The sequence below is a fragment of the Homo sapiens genome, chromosome 1, assembly GCF_000001405.40.
Source record: "Homo sapiens chromosome 1, GRCh38.p14 Primary Assembly".
Classification (NCBI taxonomy): domain Eukaryota; kingdom Metazoa; phylum Chordata; class Mammalia; order Primates; family Hominidae; genus Homo; species Homo sapiens.
In genome coordinates, this window is record NC_000001.11 from 181,386,609 (window position 1) to 181,411,427 (window position 24,819).

The 24,819-nt window shown below is 45.0% G+C and overlaps 1 protein-coding gene across 11 annotated transcripts in view, besides 1 other annotated feature; it reads left to right on the forward strand.

Moving 5' to 3' along the window:
- The window catches only part of CACNA1E (calcium voltage-gated channel subunit alpha1 E), a 490,386-nt gene that overhangs the window by 68,910 nt on the left and 396,657 nt on the right, over positions 1-24,819 (forward strand). Inside the window, exon 1 of one of the 11 annotated variants that reach the window (XM_017002251.1) lies at positions 4,816-4,884. The exons of the other annotated variants lie outside the window; for them this stretch is intronic. The gene's annotated coding sequence lies outside the window, so the exon portion shown is untranslated. Of the gene's footprint in view, positions 1-4,815; positions 4,885-24,819 lie in introns of those variants that run through there. 11 annotated transcript variants of the gene reach the window in all.
- Positions 11,905-12,014: an enhancer, noted in NCBI's record as "active region_2185". NCBI's record gives its function as "activates an Ori minimal core promoter by ATAC-STARR-seq in GM12878 lymphoblastoid cells {active_cell/tissue: GM12878}" and the evidence as "EXISTENCE:reporter gene assay evidence [ECO:0000049][PMID:35858748]".

The following is a 24,819-nucleotide window of genomic DNA, read 5'->3' on the forward strand; positions in this document are numbered from 1 at the left end:
ATTGCACACTTGAATTGTGACTAGTATAACTGAGGAACTGAGTTTTAAATTGTATTTTATTGAAATGTAAATAGCTCCACGTGGCTAGTAGCTAGCATAATGGACAGTACAAATCAGTATTGTCTGCTCATCATATCCAGAATACAATCAAATTCCTCCTGCACCCCCATGTAGGCCCTTCTGCAACTCTTAAGCCTTCCCCAAACACTGAAGCCTCTTGTACTGACTGAATCTCTTGGTTAATTGGGTAACTATGTGTGTTCCCATTTCTCCTCAATGAGTCTGCACACGCTTTGAGTGGGGACCGCTCTTGGGCTTTTGTTTTTGCCTCATCGCAGGCCACATGGCCTGAGTTCATTGAATAACTTTTGTTCGATTGATTGACTCCTGATTTCCTTGGGCTGATGGGTAGAAAGTGCAAGGATGCAGATACCAGTGTTGCAGATGGGCTGCCCGTGAGGACTGTGTGCCCCAGCCCTCCGAGAGTACACAGGGGATGTCTGTCCTTGAGAAGCCAAGCCGTGTGACCTCTGGGAGCCCTTCCAGAGTCTCATTTGCCCAGCCCTCGGGTGTTTCTGTGCTGTGAGTGGGGTGAGGTGGAGGGAGTTCTCAGCTTTCCTGCAGAAAGGCAGGCACCTGTCACCACCCTGAACACTTGGGCTGCTCCTTTGAGTGCTTTACAGTGACAGCGAGCTTGCTTTCCATTCCTGTATTTTCTCTGGACAGTCAAATCACTTTCCCACTGAGGCTTCTAGTTTTAAAATGATTAAAAAAAGGGCCTATTTCCATGCTTATGTTTTAGGCTCAGCTTGAGGCATAAAAGGAAATGTCCTCATAGTAATTGCTCTGAATGGATTTGGGGGTAATAGATGATCTGCCTCTTCCCCAGCTCCCCTCAGCCACAGGAGCCAAAGGTATATGAAGCTCCTGCCCCAAGGGAGAGCTGCTCCTCAGTGTGTTCTGTTGTGTGGCAGCAGAAGGCCCACGACACGGTGCCCAGGGCTAGTTCTCTCTAACTGGAAGTGCAGATGGTGTTGCCCCATTTTCAGAGTACACGGAGACTGGAGACGTGGTAATTTTAGTGTTGGAACAGGGATCCTGCCCTGGCAGAGTCTTGGTTCCTACTTGGGGAACGTATTTTCATAGAATAACAGACTTTCAAATGTAATTTAGTCAGTGCTTGCATTTTTTGTGTCCCTTCCTGGTGGTTGTCACTTGCAGCGACGTGGACTACATTACCATATGAGGCTGCCCTCCTGACCTCAGGACCTCTAACTATTGCAACACATTTCCCTAGGTTGAGCTAAAATCTGCCCTTTGTAGTGTTCACTCCTGGGTCCCAACCTTCCCCCTTGGGACCCTATAAAGCAAGCCTGATCATCCCTCCTTCATGTGAACTGGTATTTGATGATAGCTAAGAGTTCCTTCAACATTTGCTCTGAGGATAAGGTCTCAATTCCTGTGGTCACCTTGGCCGATAGACATTTGTTTCTCCCCGGAGAGTGGAGCACCCAGCGGTGGTCTTAGCAGAGCAGCCAGAGCACGGCCATCGCTGGAACATCATGCTAGATGTTCCACTCCTTTGACACAGCCTAAGAGAACCGTGGGAGACTACAGAGCTCCAGTTAGTGAGTGCTCCTTATCTGCGGTAACGTTCTAGAAGGTCGCCGTGAGCCCTCAATTAGCCAATGCTGAGCCATTGCTTCTAGACAAAGAGGAAATACAGTCATGTGTCAGTTAATGACAGGGATACATTCTGAGAAAGGCATCGCTAGGTGATTTTGTCATTGTGTGAACATCACAGATACACAAACATAAATGATATAGCCTATTACACACCCAGGCTATATGGTATAGCCTATCGCTCCTAGGCTACAAATCTGTATGGCATGTTACTGCACTGAATACTGTAGGCCCTTGTAACACAATGGTAAGTATTTGTGTATCTAATAAACATATATAAGCATAGAAAAGGTACAATAAAAATATGGTATTATAAGCCGGGCACGGTGACTCACGCTTGTAATCCCAGAACTTTGGGAGGTTGAGGCGGGTGGATCACCTGAGGTCGGGAGTTTGAGACCAGCCTGACCAACATGGAGAAACCCCGTCTTTACCAAAAAAAATATAAAATTAGCTGGATGTGGTGGTGCATGCCTGTAATCCCAGCTACTCAGGAGGCTGAGGCAGGAGAATCGCTTGAACTTGGGGTGTGGAGGTTGCAGTAAGCCAAGATGGCGCCATTGCACTCCAGCCTGGGCAACAAGAGTGAAACTCCATCTCCAAAAAAAAAAAACGTGTTATGATCTTATGGGAGCATCGTTGTATATGCTGTCTGACATTGATGGAAACATTGTTTTGTGGTGCATGACTGTATAGGGTTAGGTTTCTGTGAGCTTCTGCTTACAACATTTTCATCAAATGATCAATCCATAAGCTTGTTTCATGTATGTTTTTGTTTAAAGACATCTTCTTTAATATACATTTTTGATTAATTAGCATTGAACTCTCAGCCAATAGCCCTGTAGCTCATGCCTGAACCAAGCTTACGTAACGTGTATTTTCTCCGTGAGGCACATTGCAGCTTTCTTGCACTTAGGAACACTAGACAGCACTCAGTACTATGTTTGGGGCCATTTTAGCAGCACCATCATCAACAGAAGGTGCAAAAATGCAAAAATCATGGCACTAAATAGACCACAAAAGGGGCCCTTGTGTACAGCATGAGAGCTGAAACAAGGAGACTTCGTGTTACCTGTCTGAATTCAACTGAGAAAGAGTGTGTTGGGCGACTAATTTTTTCACACCCTGCATAGGTCCACAGATGAGCTGTGAGTGTTGGTCTTGGGGTTACAAATCAACGTTAGTGACTAGACTAGTTCACAAGTACGGAATCTGCAATTAATGAGGATGGACTGTACCATGACCCTAAGGAAGCAGAAAAATAGTGGTTGGCTTCATGCAGGATGTGGAGAATAGTGCCATAGCAGAAATTTCTTGCATGCGTGTGTCGCAGGGAGGTCCCAGGTAGTGGCTTGTGTCTGTGTGTGTTTTACTTTTGGTCCCGTGTCCTCAGATGGACTCTCAGCTCCAGCTGGACAAGCCTCTCATTTCCATCAGCCATGTCTGGCACAGTGTTTCACCCAGAGTGGCACTTGCAAATCTTTGTTACTGGGGCTGCTGAGGAGATCAGTGCTGATTTAGAGCAGAAGGAGCTGAGGGAGAGAATGAAATGTGACAAGAGATGTGCATAGGTCCTAAGAGATACTTCAAGTGAAGACACAGAGATTTAGGTTAATTCAGAAAATCAATGAAGAGGCAGTGGAAGAAAGTGAAGGAGGAGACTGACGTGGCTGCAGCCACAATACAGATGATTTTAGAGGAGGCTGACTGTGCTTTGGCATGGGACTGGTGAGAAGCTTGTTTTCCTTTTCCCAGGAAGGACTTTCCTTCCTGAGAGCACGAGGACTTTGCTGCCGTGTGATTGACTGCTGTTCTTCGTGACGGTGCCCCTGAGCCTAGGCAGGGCTATGTGTCCACTGTTCAGAAGAGCAAAGTGGGAGGGGGCTTAAGCCACCTTCCCAAGGGAACAGGATCAGCGATGGCGCCAGGGTTCCCACTGTTGCTAACCTGACCGCCTTAGGAGGGGCTTCTGCTGAATGCAGTGATTACCCAGGAGAGGAGAGGAGACACCTTATTTATTTATTTATTTATTTATTTATTTGTTTTTTATGAGAAGTTAGGAAAGTGAAAGAAGTCGAGAGAACCTGTAAAAGGAGAGGTGTTGTTTTTGTTGCTTGGTCATGACAGCTTGATTCAGTTCAATAGACATTTGTTGAGCTTCTGCGTGTCCTTCCTGCCACAAAGGATGGAATCATGGGCTGGACAGAGAAGAATTCTGGGCATGGAGGTCAGTGACAGCTGCCCGTAAGTAGGAGAGTGTAAATCCATGAGTCAGGGAAGCACATCAAGGACTGGAAGCGAGGGCTCAGAGTGGTTGCTGAAAGCCATATGCTTTTGTGTAGTACGAGGCTTGAGCCTGAAATCTGTTGCCTAGAGATGATTCTGTTCTGTTAGGCTGCCAGCTCGGTGCTTTTGCCCTGTGGCTCAACATCCTAGAACCGTAAATGCTGTGGAGGTCAGAGAGTTGGAGATACAGTGAGCTATAACACATGGCATTCAAGCAGGGGAAAAAGTCAGATGGACATGTAACTATGTAATTATAGTGTGTCTCCAGTGTTGTGTGATTACAAAGGAGGGAGAAATTGCTTCCTGTTGGAAAGATGCCCGAGGCTTCATGAAGGAGGAGATGATTGATGTGCTGATTGGCCGCCAAACTGCCCCTGCCCTTACCTTTCCATCTCTGTAATTTCCACCCAGTTACTTAAGCCAAAAATCTGGAGGAGTTATCACCAATTCTCTCCTTTTCTTAATCTTCCCCACATCCAATCTATCACCAAATTGCTTAGCTTCTGTCTTAAAAAGAGAGCTCAACGCTCTCAATTTTACTCTTTATTCATTGCCACCACTGGAGCCCTGGGCACATCACCTGTGGCTGAGACTACTGAAAAAGCCTCACCTAAGGGTGGTTTAAAATTCTACTCATTTTCCTCTTTTATCAGCAGTTTTTGCAGCAGCCAGAGTAATCTTTCAAAAAATAATCTAAGATCCTGCCACTCCCCTGCTTAAAAACCTTTGTAGATTTCTGTATTAGTCGGGATCCAGCTGTGAAACAACTTTGGGTATTTCAAGCAGGGAATATTAATACAAAGATTTGGTTGCATAGGTACAAATAGAGATGGAAGGCAACCCAGGGCAGGCAGCCGTTACCATGTTTACACTGGAGGCACCCAAGCCCTGGAACCTGGAACCTACTCAACCATGGTGAGTCCTGCCTGGGGGTAGCTGGGAATTCAGTGGGAGGGGCTGTCTGGGGGGGAAGCTCCGTGGCAAAGGAGACACCACCATGGCCAACTAATGCCAGCTAGAGCCAAGAGGGAGAGGGGAAATACTCGGGCTCCTCTTTTCTTTCTTTCTTCTAGTCTCCCCCTGGGGCCTCCCAGTGGTCAAACCTTGCTAGAGCCAGTTCTCTAGGGAGTCTGGGGAATGCTGAAGGGTGGAAACAGATGTGACAGGAGTGTGGTGCAGTAAATTTCAGGCACTGGCTGAACTATTTATGCAGACTGGGTTTGGCTCGTAGGTGGAATAGAAGGCTGTTGGATTTGTCTGTCAGAAAGTACCATAGCACAGGAATCTGGTCTGCCACTCCAGATCTTCTCTCTGTCTCTGTCTCTCTCTCTGTCTTTCTCTCTCTCTGTCTCTCTCTCTCTCTCTCTCTGTGTGTGTGTGTGTGTGTGTGTGTGTGTGTGTGTTTAGTGGAAGGACAGACCTCTTTTGGGCCAGGGATTGGTGAATGAGGAAGAGCCTCTCTTGGCCTCCTGTTGAGCCTGGGAGGATAAGCACAGAATATTCTTAAGAGAGGTCTGTGGTAGATCAGCACAGAAAGGGTAAGGAATAGGGAGTTTGGTACCTCCAGAATACAATCCCAGTGTCTTTTAATCTGGCATTAAAGCCTTTTAGGTTCTCATCCAATCTTACCTTCCATGTTTCTCTAACTGGAATATTTTTCCTGACGCTCAACTCAAGACTTACTAATTTCACCCTCCATGCCTTTGCATGTAAGATTCCTTTCATTCAATTCCTATCATTCTTCAAGAATGGTTCAAACCTCACCTCTTCCAGGAAGCCTTCCTGGTTTCCTCCAGCACTCAGGGATCTTGCTTTCCTTCTCAGAGCTCCTAAAAGGGTTAAGGTTGCTTTTACTACTTGGTAAGATCATAGTTTTGCCAAAGAAGGATAGTTTACCTCTCCAAAAATATTTCAGGCTCTTCCATGGCCAGGACAGGGAGTCATTAAGTCTTTGTATTCACCAGAGATGTCATCACTGTGTGCAGGAACACAGCGGATGCCTGACCAACATCTGTGGAAGGGAAATGTATTCAGTCCTAAAGATCAAGTAGTCAGTGTTCAATAAAACAAAGGAGAAGAAGCTGAGCAGGTAGAAATGTGTGATCAGTGATCTCAGAACCCCAAAAGGGTGCTTTAGAAATAAGACAGAGCAATACAGTCATTGGAACCAAATGTGAGACTGTGACTCATGAAGAGAAGGGAGGCTGCCCCTAATTAACAGGAAGCTGGAAAAAAAGACAGTGGCAAGAGAGAGGCTGAGATGGGAAGCAGGCTGAGGAAGCTTAGCATGGAGGTATTGTGTGATATTGGCAATTTTGAAATGTTATGTTTAGCAATGAGTAATACATAACTGATCTAGTGGAAAATGTAGGGCTGGTTCTTCAGGGAGGTAAGAATGAGATCTGTGAAATGATAAGGAGTTAATTGCAGATATCTGTGTTGGAAGTTATAATGTCAGTTTGCCAATGCAGGCATTGCCATGAGTGTGAATGGATTTTCTTTGTGGAGTGCTGGAGGCATAAACAGCTGCAGGTGTTGTTTACATGTTCCACATGCTTTCATGCTGAAATGTGTTTATCAGCTAAATGCATGCTGTGGGGGAAGGCTGCCGGGGTTCAAATCCTGGCTCTACCAATTACCAGTTATGGGATTTTAGGAAAGTTGATAAACCTGTGCCTCAGTTTTCCTCATCTGTAAGATGGGGTTAATAATAATACCTTCCTTACAGCATTATCATAGGATTAAACAAGATGTAAAGGATTCAAGAATGTCTAGCTTATTGTAAAAGCTGACAGGACATTAGTTATTATTACCATTAGTTGTCTTTTATGTCGTCTTCAAGGCTTTGAGGATGGAACTGTTGGAGGGGTAGGTGATCTTTTCTTTTCTTTTTTTTCTGAAACAGGGTCTCCCTCTGTCACCCAGGCTGGAGTGCAGTAGCGTGATCTTGGCTCACTGCAACCTCTGCCTTCCAGGCTCAAGCGATCCTCCCACCTCACTTCCTGAGTAGCTGGGACCACAGGCACATGCCACCAGGTCCAGCTAATTTTTTGTATTTTTGGTAGAGACAGAGTTTTGCAATGTTGCCTAGGCTGGTCTCGAACTCCTGAGCTCAGGTGATCTACCTGCCTCAGCCTCCCAAAGTGCTGGGATTACCGGCGTGTGCCCCCGTGCCTGGCCAAGAAGGACTGGTGATCTTTTCTGATGGGGGCAGTGAGTACTCATCTGGACTCAAGACCTTAAAAACCATTACATTTCAAGTACTTGGAAAAAATGTTTGTAACTTTCAACAAGCAGGTACCAAGAACCTTTTCCTGGGTTTGTGCTTTTGAAGAGCAGCTCGGGTTATGTTGTGTGACTGTCAGCCACTGTGGGACTGAGTGGGACTGAGTGCCTGAACCTGGGGATAGGAAGAAAAGTAGGGATTGGCTCCTAGTCTCTAGACAGGGCCTGTAAGGTACCCTGCAAGAGTGTGATGTGGTGACTTCAGTTGGCCAAAGGTGGCTTCTCAGGGGACGGTTGGTTGCTGACTCAGTCCAGGTGTGTGTGGAAGGTGCTTGATACAAGAATGGGAAGAGTGGTGGGGGAGTTTACTTTATCTCCAGCCAGACCTGGGTTCAAATCAGAGTTTGCCTTCTCACCACTTATGTGACTTTTGGAAACCACTTAACTTCTCTGAGCCTTGTAAAATGGGAGGTTTAAATAAGATAGCATATTTAAAGTGTCTGGCACATAGTAAGACTGATAAATGTGAATTCCCTTTTCTCAGTTTCTTCATCTGTAAAATGTGGATAATACAGAACATTTTGTGAGGCTTTTGTAACAATTTCAGATAATTTACTCATTCACTAAAATATTTTTAGTGTTGACTACATGCCAAAAATCCTTAAGGGTTTGGGGTATCTCATCAAATAAAACAGACATAGATACCGGCCCTTTTCTAGTTTAGATTTTAGCAGGGAAAGATAGACAATACACTATCATAAACAAATACAGCTTCTAATGCGTTGAAAGATGATAAGTGCTATGGGGGAAAAGGGGAAAATAGGATAAGGGGGATTGGGAGTGCTGAGGGTGGGGCAGTGTGCAGGATTCTACAGGATGGCTAAGACAGGCCATCATTGTTAAGGTGATATTTGAGCAAATATGTGAAGAAGATGACGGACTTAGCCAGAATGATATTTAGGGGAAGAGCATTCCAGACAGAAGAAACAGTCAGTGCAAATGCTGTGGGAGTGAGCCTGGCATGTTCCGAGAACAACATGGAGGCCAGTGTGGCTGGAGCAGAGGAAAGAGAGACTAGAAGGAGGTAGAGTCTGGGAAGTAACAGGAAGCCAGATGGTGCAGGGCCTTGCTGACCACTGGGAGGTCAGCTGTGGCTGTTACTCTAAGTGAAGGGAGGGTACATTGCAGGATGCTATGCAGAGAGGAATGATGTGCTCTGCCTATTTAAGAGGCTCACGCTGCACATTGGTTACTGTGTTCAGAATAGACTGTAGAGGGGTAAGGGTGGAAATAGGGAGACCAGTTAGAAGGTTGTTGCTGTGTCCAGATGAGAGATGATGGTGGCTTGTACCAGGATGGTAGCAGTGGATGGTGAGAAGTGACTCGATCTTTTTATATATCTTGTAGGTAGATTTAATAGCATTCACTGATGATTGGATATGGGGAATGAGAAGTATAGGAGTCAAGGACAGCTTGAGCAACCAGAAGGACAGAGCTGCCGTCAATTCAGAAGGAGATTGTGAAGCAGGCTTGGGTGGGAAAAGTTAGGAGTTCACACTTGGGCATGTTGAATTTGAGTTGTATGTTATATATCCAAGTAGAGAAGTCATGGAGGCACCTGGTTATATGAGTCAGAAATTTGGGAGAAAGGTCTGAGCTGAGTTATAAATTTTGGAGTTGACAACATATATGGTAATTCAAATCACATGACTGGATGAGGTCACCATCTTTTCTGATGGGGGCAGTGAGTACTCATTTGGACTCAAGACTTTAAAAACCATTACATTTCAAGTATTTGGAAAAAATATTTGGAACTTTCAACAAGCAGGTACCAAGAACCTCCTCCTGGGTTTGTGCGTTTGAAGAGCAGCTGGGGTTAAGAGCGGCATGAGGGCCTCCAGCTTAAAGAATCGAGGCAGAAGAAGAAAAGCCAGCAAAGGAAGTTGAGAAGTGATCCATGAGGTCGAAGGAAAACCAGGAGAGTGTGATGTCGTGGAAGCCAGATGAAGAAAGTGTTTCAAGGGGGCAAGAGTGATCAATTATGTCAAATAATGTGATGAGTCAAGTGTATTTGCTATCTATCATTGTGTAACAAATCACTCAAAAACTTAGCAGCTTAAAACAACAAAAATGTATTATCTCACAAAGTTTCCAAGACTTAGGAATCTAGGAGTTGCTAAGGTGGCTAGTCCTGACTCATGATCTCTTGCGGGTTGAAATTAAGTTGTTAGCTGTGGCCGCAGTCATCTCTAGGGTCAACTGGGGCTGGAGAATCCCATTCCAAACTCACTCTTGCAGTTCTTGGCACCCTATTTCCTGGCCATGTAGGCCATCTGAGTGGCCTCATGACATAGCATCTGGCTTCCCCCACAGCAAGTGGCCCAAGAGGGAGACAGACTGCAGGAGAGCACCCCAGACGGAAGCCACAGTCTTTTGTACCTAACTGTGGTAGTGTCATGCCATCACCTCTGAATGTTCTTGGTTACACAGACCAACCCTGGTACAGTGTGGGAGGGGACCGCACAAAGGTGAACATCCCAGGAGGTGGGGTCATCTTGGAAGCTGGCTACCACATCAAGCATGACAAGAACAATTGGTCATTGGGTTTAGCAATGTGGAGGGCATTGATAACCTTAACAAAAGCGTGGGGAGAAAAGTTTGATCAAAGTTGGTGTAAGAAGGGATGGGAGGAGGAGAACTGAGACAGTGAATAGAAATGACTCTTTTGAAGAGTTTGTCACAAAGGAGAACAAAGAAATCAGGAAATAGCTGATGAAGGAAGTGGTTTTTCTAAGATGAGAGAAACAACAGTATGTTTGCACATTGATAGGAGTAATCCAACGAGTGAAAAATTGATGACGCAGAAGAGAAAGGTAATTGCTGGAGCCTGGTCCTGAGTAGAACAATGTGGAATAACATAGAAACAGAGATTCCCTCAACCCAGAATAAATAGTTTACGCTAAAACAGATAAAATTACCCACTACATTCTTATAGAGACAAGAGGTATCAGATCTCAAGAGTTTAAGGAAAATAAATCACAGGAGAGAAATCTTAAAATTGGGAAAATTATTTCCATTAACTACTTCTTCTTCTGGGACTTGGGTAAAGACTGGAGCTACTTTATTTTAAGAGTAGAACACATCTGTCCAGCCTGCAGAAGATGCCTGGTTTGAACACCTCTGCAGCGAACCTGGCCAATGGAACAGCTGGGACTCCCTTGCAAGCTGCAGACCTGCTTTGTAGGGTAGTTCCAAGCCCTGAAGATAGGTGGGTTTTCTGCCACCAGATGAGGGAATTCTAGAGGCAACCAAACAGACCTTCACAGTAAAAAAGGGCAGAGGTCTACAGGAGCTCTCAGAATGTCTCTGGGAGGGTCAAGAGCATCAGTCCTCACTGATGCCTCCCATGCTCCCAGCAGGCCTCACATTATAGAATTCTCTTCTATTACTACGTCTCACCACAATAATGGTGGATGGGAACTCTGTCCTGAACCCTTACAAAACCCAGGCCCCTGCCTCGGTGAGTTTTTTGTTTATTTCCAGGCCGGAGTGCAGTGGCACGATCTTAGCTCACTGCAACCTCCACCTACCGGGTTCAAGTGATTCTCCTGCCTCAGCCTTCCAAGTAGCTGGGATTACAGGCATGCGTCACCACACCAGGCTAATTTTTGTATTTTTAGTAGAGACGGGGTTTCACCGTGTTGGCCAGGCTGGTCTCGAACTGGCCTCGAGTGATCCGCCTGCCTCGGCCTCCCAAAGTGCTGGGATTACAGGTATGAGCCACTGCGCCTGGACAGGGTGGGGTGTTTCAGCCTCTCATCACGTCACTAGGAAGACTCCAGGAAAAAGGAGGAAAGTGAGAAAAACTTTTGTATGGGCTACATCAGCGATGCTTAGAATCCAGCTCCAGGACCTGGTGTCCCTCCCCCTCATCCCGTCTTGTCCTTCCCTCTCCCTGCTGAGCTCCGCAGCCCTGGGGATTCCACATGTAGCCCTTACCCTTCTTGTACTCCAGTCAGTTCTCATTGGCATTCTCCTGGTTCTCAAAATGCTTTTACCCTATTGGCTAGGGCAAAAAATGACCTGAGAGATCCTGGACACTCTCCTAGCAACTGTGCCAGAGCTGGTGGCCATCGCCTTTTTGCAGAGACAGATGCTCCTGTAACAGGAACAAATCAATTAGCCAGCCTGCTGCTAATGTGCAAATGTCACCTTATTAAGCTAGTGTCTGCCTGGGGAAGCCGCCTCTTTCTCCTGTCCCCACTCTGAAGCTCAGCCCTCTGCTGTTGCTTCAACCTCTGTCTCTTCTGAGGTCAATTGTAAAATGAAACTGCTGCCATCTGAACATCTATGAAAGCCACAGGCTCTACCCAGATGCCTTGGCTGAGAGGAGGGGCAGTTTAATTTCCCTTCCTTCTCTGAAGAGTCTTGACGTGCAAGGACCAGCTCTCCCTTTATCACCATTTCCAGAAAAACACAAACAAGGCAAAACAAAATAAAAACAAAACTTTGCACCTATTTTTGGTGCCAAAACCTTAAATTAGATTAAGATCACATCAATTTCTTCCATAAGCTTTGTAGCTTAGGAAGTGCATGCTCACACTTTATTTTATTTAACCCTCATAATAAATCTATTGGAGGAAAGGACAATTATCTCCATATTACAGATGAGAAAACTGAGGCCCAGAGAGGTTGGCTGACTTGCTCAAGGATATTAAGCCAGTAAATTGCAAAGCCAGGGCTGGAAGAAGGGCAAGAAGGGCCAGAAAAGCTGATTCAAAGCGCAGGAACTCTGGAGGCACCTCCTGGCAGCTGGAGCAGGGTGTGCGGAGTGCCCTCCCTCCATGAGCTAAAGGAGGACTGGCTTCCATGAAGCACCAGCATTGCTCTGTCACCCCCACCCAACCTGGTCACCTTTCACTATGACCACTTTCCATCCTGTCTCACTTTCAGAAACGAGGTCTGAGCAGTGCAGCTGGACCTACTATAGTCATAGTTTCCACTGGCTTTGACTTCATCAAGCGAAAACCAACACCCCTTTGAAATCTGTAGCCCCATCCCTAAAAATCAGCCTTTCAGCTTGAATCAAAAGGCAAAAGGCAATGGAGATCCAACTGGAAACAGAGCTCCCTTCCTCCCTTCCAGGCAATGCTGCTGTGTAGAAGGTCACTTCAGAAATTCTGTCTACACTATGAGGACATAAATATTAGGGAGAATCTCCTCTGCCTCACATGAACCTGGGTCCTTCAGTGAGTCCCCCCACCACATCCCCTCAATCCTTTGATTCTTCCCAGTATTGTGACCTTTCCGTCCTTCCTCTGAAGTTGTAGGAGTTGATTCTTCCCAAAATAACCTGAGTAATGGCTTGCAGGAAAGTTACAATTAGCTTTTCACAGGGAAGAAAGTTTAGAGAGTTTTTTTTTTTTTAAAGGAAAAGAGGTAGAAGGAAAAAAAAAAAGCAAATGAAAAATCTTGTGGTCTTCTAAGTCAATTTAGAAAACACTGAGTTATTTCCGTAGAGCTATTCTGACAGGAGATACATTGATTTTTGGCCTCTCTTCATTGTTTTTATTGCTGATTACATCCTCTTTTTCTAGATTGTCCCAGGTGGCCACAGGTGAATGAATTGTGTTTACTTACAGACCACTGATTTCTGTGTTGACACACATTGATTTCAGCTCAGAGTAAGAAAGATCATCCTAATAGAGCTATCTAAAGTTGGAATAGTTGCTTGGGTGGTGGGGGAAAGAGGGTGGTAATGAAATAGTGAAATCCCTGTCAACGGAGGTGTTCAAAGACTGAATGACTGTGGAGGGAATGTGATCGAGCTGACTCCAGCAGGACTGGGAAGATAGCTCGGGGGATCTTTAATGTTCTCACCTCATGTTCAGCATTAACACCTGAGATGACTGTTTAATATTATGTAGATACTACGTGCCAGTGAGGACAGTGTTTCCCAAAGTGTGACTTGTTAGATGTTTCCCACAGGGTGGTATGCTTGATGATTTTCTTTGGTAAGGAATTTACTGTTAAAATAGTAAAAATACAATTAGTACAACAAATCACAATTTCATGGATATCATTGCCTGGGATGAAGCTAACAAAACCCATGCCATAGTAATGGACATTTAAACTGTAAAAATTACAGGTGAGGCCCTAAGTGGTAACCTTGAACATTTAAGACCTTCATTGCTAAATTTTAGCCTTAAATGTTTTGAAGGATGAATAGTACAGGTGACCCAGATAAATAATAGGGAATCTGATCTACTGTAGTTCTATGCTATATCTCAGTGTTCCCCCCCACCAGGGGTACATCGTGAAGCAGATTTGAATTTGCTTCACAAAACTCAGGTTATAAAAATCTAGCATTCATTATTTCCAGGATCTTGCTAGATTTCTGAGTTTCCAGCCACTTTAGTGGAAAACAACTTGATCTTTTTAAATTTATGTTTTACCTTATTTCTAGCCAGAGGTTTTCTAGTTAACTGATGATTTATCATTCTTTTGATTATATATATCATTCCTTTGATGTATATACAGTCAGCTGCCTGCTACCCCTCCTTTCCTGAAGTTTATGTGGCCTGACGTTGGGGTGGGGCATCTGGGCTGCAGACCCTCTGGGGAGGCTGCAGACTGGCCGTGGCTGCAGGGAAGAGGGCCCTCCTTGTCTGTGGGCATTGACACCTCTCCCCCACCACATCAGCTGCTGAAGCATCCCCATGCCCTACCAAGCCTCTTGTCTCCTGATACATGAACCCTGTCTCCTCCTTGCCCAAGCCTCGAGACCCCTTTAGGACCATTGGCAAGGTCCCCGTGCCCCTCTTTGGCTCAAGGTCGTGTGCTGAAGACAGGAAATCTTCAGAGAGCCTCCTGCACCACTCAGGAGACACAGGAGCTTTAGGGATAGGGAGTGGCCATCACGGGCTCTCTCTCTCTGCCTCTCCCCAGTCCTGATGGCCTGTGTTTTCCCTTGGGGTACATTGAGCTCCTATTGATCAGGCACTTTGCAAAGCTGTCTCTGTCCAGGGTTTGAGAGGGTCACGCTTTGCTGTATTATGGCTGCAATGGCTTCCAACTGGTCTCCCTGCCTCTTCCCCTGCTCTCCCACGGTCTGTCCTCACCAGCAGCTACACAGGAGTGTCATGCCTGCTTAAAACCCTCCAAAGGCTTCCCACTTACCTCAGAGCAAAAGGCAAAGGCCCTCTGTGATCTGCCCCCCAACATTACATCGCCGATATCATCTGCTGCTACTCCTGTTCTAGCCACACTGGCCTCCTTGCTGCTCCTAGCAAGGAACATTCTAGGCATGCTCCCTCATTAGGCCTTTGTGCAGCTTTTTCTGTCTTCCCTATATCAGAATTGCCACTTCCTCACTTATTTCGAATATGCTGAAATGTCACCTTCTTGGTGAGGCCTACTCTGACCACACTGTTTCAGTTGCAGTCCACCCTAACTCCCATCCTTCCTGCCTTGCTGACCCTGACATGATGCACAGTTCTTAGCTTAAACACCCTGTCCTCCAGGCAGCCTCCCCAACTCCCCAAGACCCTCTATAGCCTCCCAGAGAACCTTATTTGTTTTTTCCACTTGAGCACAAATCAAGGTTCATGTTAGAATCTGTTTATTTTTCTGTTTTAAGCTCTGGTGGCTGGCACAATGTTGGGCAAGTAATAGGTGCTTATTGTCAATGTATTGAATAAGTAAATGGTTGAATGAATGAGTGAATGACTCAGTTCACTTTAAAAAAAGCTTGAAGATTGTTGAGGAGATTGGCTAGTAAGGCTTGTAAAACCTCCAGTATGGTGCTTGGCTCAAAAAAAGGAAGTTTATATTTATAATTCCTATGATAAAGGAGGGCTTCTTGTCACAGAGCTTCTGTATTGTCTGTGATTCAACTAGTTTCAGTGAAAACTGCACGGATTTTTATGTAGGAAACATCAGGCTAAAATGCTTGAAAGATGTGTGGCAGGAGGAAGTGGCAGCCCTGCACTTTGAAGCATTGGATCTTTCTTATGCCTGCTAGCAGAGGCCCCTCTTCTTGACTCCTCTTGGAATTACTGCCTGGCTGTTAAGTGGCCCAGCTCCCTAGAATACCGACACCTTAAATACCGCCTATTTATGTCAGCGATTTTCATCTCCAATGAAGAGCCTGGCCCTGGGGCACTTGTGTTTGGTCTGAGAAGAAGTAGAAGAAATGTAGGATGGCCACTTTGGAGCTTGTGTGTGATGATTGATGGCCCAGACATTCTCTCACTCCCGTTTTGTATCATTACATATTTTCAAAGAAGGTGATCTGCTAACACAACTAAAGGTATACTAATTTTTATAACCAGATGAGATATTTCTTATATATAAATTTGCGAATCAGAAAAAATATTCTTTTCAGACCAGTTATCTTCCTTTTTGGATTGAAGAGTAGTGTTGCCATAATCATGGGGGATTTTGTAGAATATTATGGTGAAGACAGGAATTTGGCAACAGTTAGAGGGTGGTGTGAAGACCCTGGCAGCTGGGGGACAGAGGTATAAGTGGTGAGAGAGAGCCCAGGGGCCAGGGAAAGAGGTGGGAAGGGTCCCAAGACTCATTTTTCCCATTCCTCCTAGTTTCCTCCCAGAGCAGAGCCATCACTTCATTCCCATCAGGCAATCACAAGATCACAAAGGATGATCCACCTCTTCTTTCCATTACCTCTTGGGGCAGTCTGAGAGCTTGCTCTGTGATGATGCTGCTTGGAGAGGCCCAGGACTGCTGTGCCAAGCCAGAGCGTACTCCGTCCCCATGCAGTACTGTCCTTAGTTAGAAAGTGCTGCTGACAACAGCTCTGCTTCCTCTACATGGACCTGCATAAAGACAAGGAGCCAGGCCTGGGGGAGGGGTCAGGTGGAACCTGGCACAAACATGTATGAACTTATTACCCCCCTGCACACACATGTACATATGTACATGCCATCACTGAAACACACAGTCTTATACCCAAGGGACAGGACTATTTGAGGGCCCATCTACTTTCAAAGTACAACCTATACTATCCTTACTTCAACTTCCAGAGAGACATTAGGTAAGGAATCAGATTTTGAATTCTAGGTACAGTGTTACTAGCTATGTGACCTTGGGTAACTTTCTGTGCCCTGTTTTCTTATTTACTTAATGGGAAAGATAAAAGTACTTACCCAATAGGTTGGTTAATAAACATGAATTTCAGGTCTTGAGTTCAAGAAATGGAACTAATACCATTATTAGAGCCAGCATGGTGCAGTAGATGGTGGCATGGCATTTGGAGTCAGTCAGATCTGGATAAGAGGCTCTTCCGTTTAATGACTGTGTGATCCTAACCTCGGGAAAATTATTTAATCCTTTTAAGTCTCAGTTTCCTCATTTGTAAAATTGAGTTCACAGTAATAGTTATTTCATAAGATTTTTTTCGAGAATTAAGTAAAAATGTAAAGGATTTGTTGCATAAAAGCCCCTTATAGTATCTAGTATAAAATTAAGAACCCAATAAATATTAACCATTATTTTTATTGATGATGGTGGTGGAGGTGGTGTCTAGTATGACCCCTCATCCTCATTCTACCCTACTGAATTGCAGAAAGGCCTTTTACATATAACCCAATTGCACTGTTCACTTCCCCACCTCAAACTTACTGCTTGCCCAATTGAACTTAACTTTATTCAGTTTAGATTGGGTCATTTTTCCATTATTCTGAGGATTGTTAGAATACTGACCAAGAATTTTATGCAAAAGTGAAGTCTCAGTGTCCATTTATAGAGGATGAACTACAACCAAAAAACATAGAGAGGGATAAGAAGACTCCCTCCTGCTGTGATCAGAACAATTAAATGGCTTTGTAGAATGTGGAGTATTTAAAATCTTATAATTTTGCAGGTGAATATGGGAACTCCCTCAACTAATGTGCTTTGGGGTGTAAGTAACAGAAAACCTGACTCAAATGGGCTTTGGCCAGTAGGAGCTGTATTGGCTCATATTGCTGGTGGTCTAAGGTGGGGTGGCTTCCGGGTTGATTGAATCTGGGGCTCCCTCTCCATTTCCTGTGATTTTCTTGGCCCTGCTCTCCTCCATGTGGCAGGCTTATCCTCAGCTGGCAGTGATGTGGTGGCAGCGGTTTCACAGTTTGCATCTGTGCAGCACACTGTCCAGAGGCAGAGAGGGGCCACTTCTTTTTCTAGCCTTCCCTTAAAAGCTGGGAGATTTTCCCTCCAAAACCCTAGTAAATGTTACCTTATACTTCATTGGCTTTAAATGAGTCACATGCCTTTTCCTTAACTAATCACTGGCAAAGGGATGTGGTTACCTTGACTGGATTAGTCTAATTAGAACCTGCTATGGAGCTGGAGCCCATCCCCCAAACTGTACGGACGGTGCACAAGGTTGGGGGATGGAACGATCTTGAGGAGGTAAACATAATGCCTACTACAGTTTTCCTTTTTAGATCATTGGAGAGATGTGGGCACTTTCAATTGGATTGTAATTGTTGGTCTAATCTTACAAGTGCCTTGTGTCTTATTGCAGAACGTCAGGGAACACCTGTCTGAGTTGTGCACCTGGAATTGCCAACATCGTGCTCAGTATGCATTTATTGAGCTAAAAATCCTTCAGGCCACATTATCTCTAGAAATGTGAATTTTGTTCTCAATGAATTCTTTGGCTTAAAAAGCAGGTTAATTATAACATAATTGTTGGTAATCATGTCGTAAAATATGTAGTAAATGACCAGAAAGAAAAAGCATAAAACAGAAGTCAGAGGGCACAGAGAAGAGAGTGGAATGAAGAAAAGATCCTAAAAGCTTTCAGAGATCAGACACGCTTTGGAGGCACAGGTATGCCCTTCTTCCATTTCCATCAGCTCCTGAGTATCCAGATCCTAACCCAAGATCTTCCCACTCATTGTCAAGCTTCTTTGAACTTCCCACGTGTTTGATCACAGCTGAGGTGTGCAAAAAGGCTGGGTTCTGAGATAGGTCAGATGGAATCTGACCAGAAGGGGCCAGGCCTGGCAGCCAGATGGGGAAGAGCTCAGGCCACCAGCACAGAGGTTCACAACTGGCCAACATGTGAGGCACTCGAGGGCTGTGAGGTGTCCTCCATGAAGACCACATTGTAGGCCCCATATGTCCAGCTTTGGGCTTTGTTCTTGTTTCCCTAGGTGGCAACTCAGACTGGCTCTCCCAGTCCAAACCGTGTTCCCTACTTAGAGCTGCAGCATGAGGGGTTGCCCCTGGGCTAGTACCTTTGAAAGCCTGTGCTGCTGTTATGACCCTACTCAGAGAGGAGATTTAATCTGCCAGCACAAACAGTGCTGTCCATAACTTTACTGCAGTACCAACGTACTCCCTTTAAAAGACAATCACCTCCAAGAAAATCACTTCAGGTAATCTTGGTCTGAGTGGGTGGGAGGGATATTACGAGGCTCTAATTGGAGATCCCCAGTGCTACTGGGATTGATACTTGAGAAATGTTTTGATAGAAAAGAGGCTATTGGAGAAGATTTTGCAGCATTGCAGATGCCATTGTCTGAGCCTGATGCTGCAGTGGTTTGGACAAACACCCTTCAGGGACTATATAGAGGCTTCTGGAAGTTAGCCCCTAGCCCTTCTCTATCCCAGTCTAGATAACTGGCATTTCAATTTGTTTCTCCAAGTCCAAGGGGTTGTAGCATTTTGTTTTCTTTCCAGTTAACTATTACTGACTCCTAGTGACTTTTCCTTCCAGAGACTGTCCAAGGAGTAGTTTTCTGTCCTTAGTTTTCTACCTCCCTTAAGTTCCTTAGAAAAGTATGGGAAACTGCAAAATATCTTCTTTCCTCCGTACCTGTTTACCTTTCTCCCTCTCTCCTCCCCTCACTCCTTCCTTTTATAAGCACTTACTGAATGCTTACAATTACTACATTTCTGCTCTCCAGTGGTTAAGCAGGGCCAGGTGACTGAATTCTGGCTAATGGAATGTGGAGAGTTGATATACACCACTTCTAGGCCTTGCCTGTAAGCCTCATGCAAAATCTTTCAAGTGCTTAGTCTTTTTCTTTGTCTCCCAGCTGGAGAGAAAAAGAGTTTAGGAAGACTCTGAGGCCCAGGGCTTGGGTGTTAGCAGGACCAGGTGCCTGTTTTTGTAAATAAAAAATTTTATTGAAATACAGCCGTATCCATTTGTTTATATATTGTCTATGCTGCTTTCACACTGAAAAGGCAGAGTTGTGTAGTTGCAACTAAGATCTTATGGCCTGCAATGGCTAAAATATTTACTATCTAACCCTTTAAGAAAAAAATTTGCTTAACCCTTCCCCAGGGGATGGCAGAGCCACTGAATGAAAGGAACCTGGTTCCCTGAATGACTATGTAGAGCAGAGTCTCTCTTTCCCATCTTCCAGGCCAACTTGCATCATTAGACAGTGATATTGGAGAGAAATAAGTTTTTATTTTATTAAGCTATAGATATTTTGAGGTTGTTTAATACAAACATAAGTTATTTTACATAATAAAAATGGTAGCTAATATTTATTGGGCATTTTTTATGGCCAGGTGCTGTTCTATGAGCTTCTGTATTTAATTCTCACAACTTTATGATGTATCTACCTTTCTTTTTTTTCTTTTTTTGAGATGGAGTCTCGTTCTGTCTCCCAGGCTGGAGTGAAGTGGCGCGATCTCGGCTTGCTATAACTTCTACCTCCTGGGTTCAAGAAATTCTCTGCCTCAGCCTCCTGAGTAGCCGGGATTACAGGCACCTGCCAGCATGCCCGGTTAATTTTTTTGTCTTTTTAGTAGAGACAGAGTTTCACCATCTTGGCCAGGCTGGTCTCAAACTCCTGACTTTTTGATCCACCCGCCTCAGCCTCCCAAAGTGGATGTATCTACTTTACATGTATCTACTTAATCTGTAAAATGATGTATGATCATTTTACAGATTAAGATATGCAAGGCTATGTAATTTGCCGAGGGATTCAGTTGGTGAGCGTGGAGTTGGGATTCATACCCAGCTTCAGAGCGTAGGCTCCTAACTTCTATTTTTTTGCCCCATATTTACCTAACTTACAGTTCCAAGTTCCTCCCCAGATACTATGTTGATTCTTATCACAGGCTTCTGTAGGGCAGGTTATATTATTATCCTCATTGTTTATGTGAGAAAACTGACCTAGAGAAGTCAAGCTAAAGGTTGCTTGACTAGCAAGTGGCAGAAATGTAGCCTGAACCCAGAGCTTCTGATACCAGAATACGGACTCTTTCAACTCCTCCGCAGAGACTCAGACTGACTTAGTGCACACTCCATATTTGAAGCTGTGTTTTCCTTGAGTCTTGGTTTACATTCAGAATGCACCAGCCTGTTAAATTGCTGTTGGACATTAGCCCATCCTTGAACAGTCACCATAACAACATAGGCACATGGAGAGGAATGTGGGGTAGGCAAAAACTGATGCCAGTCCAGGGGAGAATAGAGCTTTGCAGGGAGTGGGGGTGGGTCAGGGAACACTTCCTGGGTGTGTTTTGCTATGTTCTTTTCATGATATAGACTGGAAATGATTGAGAAGGACACTGTTCTAGTGGCTTTTAGCAACCTGACTCATCCAGGACAATACCTCTTACCAACTTAGCACAACCTCTCAGGCTGACACACTGCTTTTAGGACAGTGTTTGAAGACATGGTTCCTAGGGGGAAAGGGTGTCTATTAACAATGTAGGTTCCTGAACCCACCCAAGATCTACTGCATGAGAATCTCTGAAGAGACATCCAGGAATCTGCATTTTTAACCAGCAATGTAGATGGTTCTGATGTACATTAGAGATTGAGAAGTGCGGTCTTAGGAAGTCATGGTAAATGAAAATCATGCCCAGCTTTTACTCCTCCTTTTTCAGTCAGGTAGCAGGCTGGCTCAGCTAAGAAAAATCCCTAGATGAATATTTATTTCTGCACAGGGAATGTTTCCTCTCAGAGTAGGCGGGTGAGTATGCTGAGTAGGTCATTCCCTGCCATTCCTATTGCTGGGCAGGAAACCCATTTTACTGTATCAGTTCTCTCTCAAGAGAATCATTTTTAGAATTAACTCAACACGATATATAAGTTGTAGAGTATCATATCTCAAAATTTGTTTCCATCTTATAACTTTTAATTTCTAACAGGTGGGAATTAGGACATCTTTACCCTCATCCAGCCTATGGCAGACAGAGGGTACAGAGCCAAGATAGCTCAGGGCCAGCTTGGGGACACTTGTATGCCTACCACTCACCTCGTAGTGTTCATCAGTTCCATTTCTGTCCACTATCTCTTAGCCAATGTGCTTGGTGGTCTATGCAGTGGAGATTTCTTTGCTGAACTCAGAACTTTCAGGGAATAAAGATAGTAGACTTAGAAAAGCATGAGTTTCATTGACTTGCTGGTGTATCCACTTCTCACAAGGTAAGTTGGAGGATGCACATGTTCTGGAGGAATCAGAAAGAGAGTGGTGGAGGGGTGGGAATAGGATGGGCATGCACCCAAGGAAAGGAAGATGAATGTCCTCAATGTGACAGACTCATCTTTAAGGGTCTGAGAGGCACAGATAAGCCAAAGGGGTGCATGGACCATTATTTCTAAAGCAGTAAAAAATAGATGAATTAAGAAGTAAAACTCTTGATAGGGTATAAAGGGAAAGATGGTGCAAAGGACATAATATTTCTTCATGGACAAAGATCTTGACTTTGACTCTGGAAGGGTGACAGGGAAGACAATTTCAGAAGTAGGCTATGAGCTCGAGTGTTTTTGGCAGTGCAGGGTGCTTGTGTGGGGGTGGAGGAAGAGAGCCCTTATTCTGCCATTCCACTGTGCCCTGACAGGGAAGGGAAGGGTTTTTCTGGGGCTGCTGGATTACACTAAACGCTCTTCCACCCCAGGATCCCCATAATTTAAAATCACACCCTCTGCTCATTAACCAAACTTAGCAATGAAGAATAAGAAGAGAAGTAGGTAGGAAGCAAGGGTTAGAGTCAGACTGGTGCTCTCAAAGCTTTCATTAGCTCGTTCTTGGGCAAGTTTTGCAGAGCTCATCTTATAACTTTTAATTTCGAAGCAGGCCCTCTTCTCCCTCTCTTCAGGAGTGTTGAGTGTGAGCTATAGGACAGCAACTTTGCTCTCAGGAAGCTGCTCACCTGGGTCCACCCCTCATTCTCTTTTGTAGATCTCCATTTCCTATTTTTGCCAGGTTCTCTGTAGAACCTGCTTCCATGGGCGTAGGCTGAATGACAATAATGGAGTCCAAGAGACGCAGATGAAAGACCAAAGTTTACAGGACTTTATAAATAAAGTTTTATCAGAACACAGTCATTCCCATTCATTTACATATTCTCTGGCTGCTTTCATGCTACAACAGCAGCGTTTAAATAGTTGCAACAGAGATTGTGTGGCACGCAAAGCTCAAAATATTTATTTTCTGGTCCTTTGCAACAGAGATTATATGGCATGCAAAGCTTGAAATATTTATTTTCTGGCCCTTTGCAGTGTTTGCCAATCCTTGCTCTAGAGAGTTTTGTATGGGCATTTAAATGCTACCCTTAAGTAACATATATCACTTCCACTCACAACTCACTGGCCAAAATGGTCACATGGCCCCACTCAACCATAGAGGGCCAGGAAGTACATCCTACTGTGTGCCCAAGAAGGGGATAATCAGAATATTTGGCAAACAGCACTAATGGTCACCATAAGCACCTAATATGAATTGAACTCAGTACTAGGTGCTGGGTATAGAAAGAAGAACAAGACAAAATTGTTGATCTCAAGGAATTTAAGGAATGCCAGAATTTGGGGATTGGAGGGGGAAGGCTAAGTATAGATTCGAGTGTCCTTTCCTAGAAGATATAGACTGGCTTGTCTGAATTGCTTGAGATCTCGGCTTGGTGCTAGCCAGAACTGGGGACTGATCGGCTTGGCAAGCAGTGGGGGCAACAGACCCTCCTGGTGAACATTTGTATCAATAATAGAAGGGTTGTTTAACAGAAATTCTTAAAGGAAAGATGAGATAATTTCATATTTTGATATTCATAACATAAAGCTGGAGCTCCGCAGTGCATATTATTGCTGTTGTAATTTTGGCAAAGATGTGATTCAAATTGGCAAAGTGTCTGGGAAGAGGAAATCATGTAAGGAGAGAGGGTGGGATGGGTCAGGAAACAGAGGTGGGGAGCCAGGTACTGGTGGCCTGGTGAGAGCTGGGAGGGTGGCCCAGGAGCCTTTGTCACAGACAGACACGAGGGAAAGGAGGCTGCAGCCAGCAGGGCCTGAGAATTCTTGGAGTTGCTGGAGATGCTAAGGCCTGGGGAGGGAGTGGGAGCAGCAGGGGAGGGGTGTGCGCGTGCATGTGGTGAGGGAGAGACATTTAAACATCGTAGGAATGAAGGATAAATTTAAAATCCCTCAAGGGGAGTTGAGACAGAATGACAACGTGAGGAACGTGAATCACTCTTTCTAGGGACCCACCCAGCTGTTGGCATGATTTGGAATACATTTTCTTCTCCTTACCAAGCTCATTCTGGACTCCTTATCTTCCTTCTCCCTGATCCCTTGACCTGGCCTTGGTGGCCAAGTACCGAGTGTTGGCTACCATGTCCTGGGAGCTTCAAGCTCAAAAGCATTGAGGCCTTAGGGTGTGGTGCTGGTAGGGCAAGGAAGACCAGTCCAGATGCTGGAGATGGAGAAGGGGACGAATAGAGAAGGTATCTTAGGGCTCCAGGGGCGTCCGAGTCTACTGAATGCTCCCATCAGGCTTTATCATGTATGCGCTAAGATCATCCTCTCATCCAGACTTTTTGTTTCTATTTATTATCTTAGCATAACGAGGAGGGGGGCTGGGAGAGGCATTTATGGATTCTGCTTCATGTGGTAGAGACACTGTGATCAATATAGTGGAGAAAACCATAAGCTAGGACTTGAAATCTGAGTTCTCTCCCAGCTCTGCTTTTTATTGGCAGTGTGATCCTGGGTGGGGCTCTCTACCTTTGTGGACCTCAGCATCCATAAAATGATATGGTTAGATCATTATAATTCCTAACCATTGAAATAGTCTTTGTTTTTGTGACTTGCAATTTGACTTGCCGTCCAACCCAGGGAAGGCGGGGTGGGAGATGGTGTCTGGAGGGCAACTTTCTGGGAGGATGCCACCCTGGGGGCCCAGTACAGCTCCCAACACATAGTGGGTGCTCAACCATCCAACACTGGTTGAATGATCTGGAGGCCAGAGTTCCTCTGAGCATGTAGAGCACGGGACACTTCTTAGATGCCACCTGTGGTCACTGAGACGTGTGGTTGGGAGGAATTCTGGTTTTGGGCTCCTGGCTAGGAGGGAGGCAATAAGCAGGTATCTTGAAAAGGTGGTAAGTTCAGGCCCTCTCAAGCCACAAGGACTCCCCCCAGTACTTAGACCTGCTGTGGGGACTAGCAATGTGTGAGTAACTTTTACGTCTCTCATTAAGTTAAACCTTTGCTAATTGGAGCATGTCAAGATCTAGTACCAGCCACCCACCTGGAGTGCTGCTTTCACTTGGGCAGGTCCATGAGGCGTAAAACAGGGAAAACACCTCAATGGCTTTGGACTCAACCTTTAGGGGTGTAGTAGTGGAGGAACAGTGCACAAAGGAGGAGAG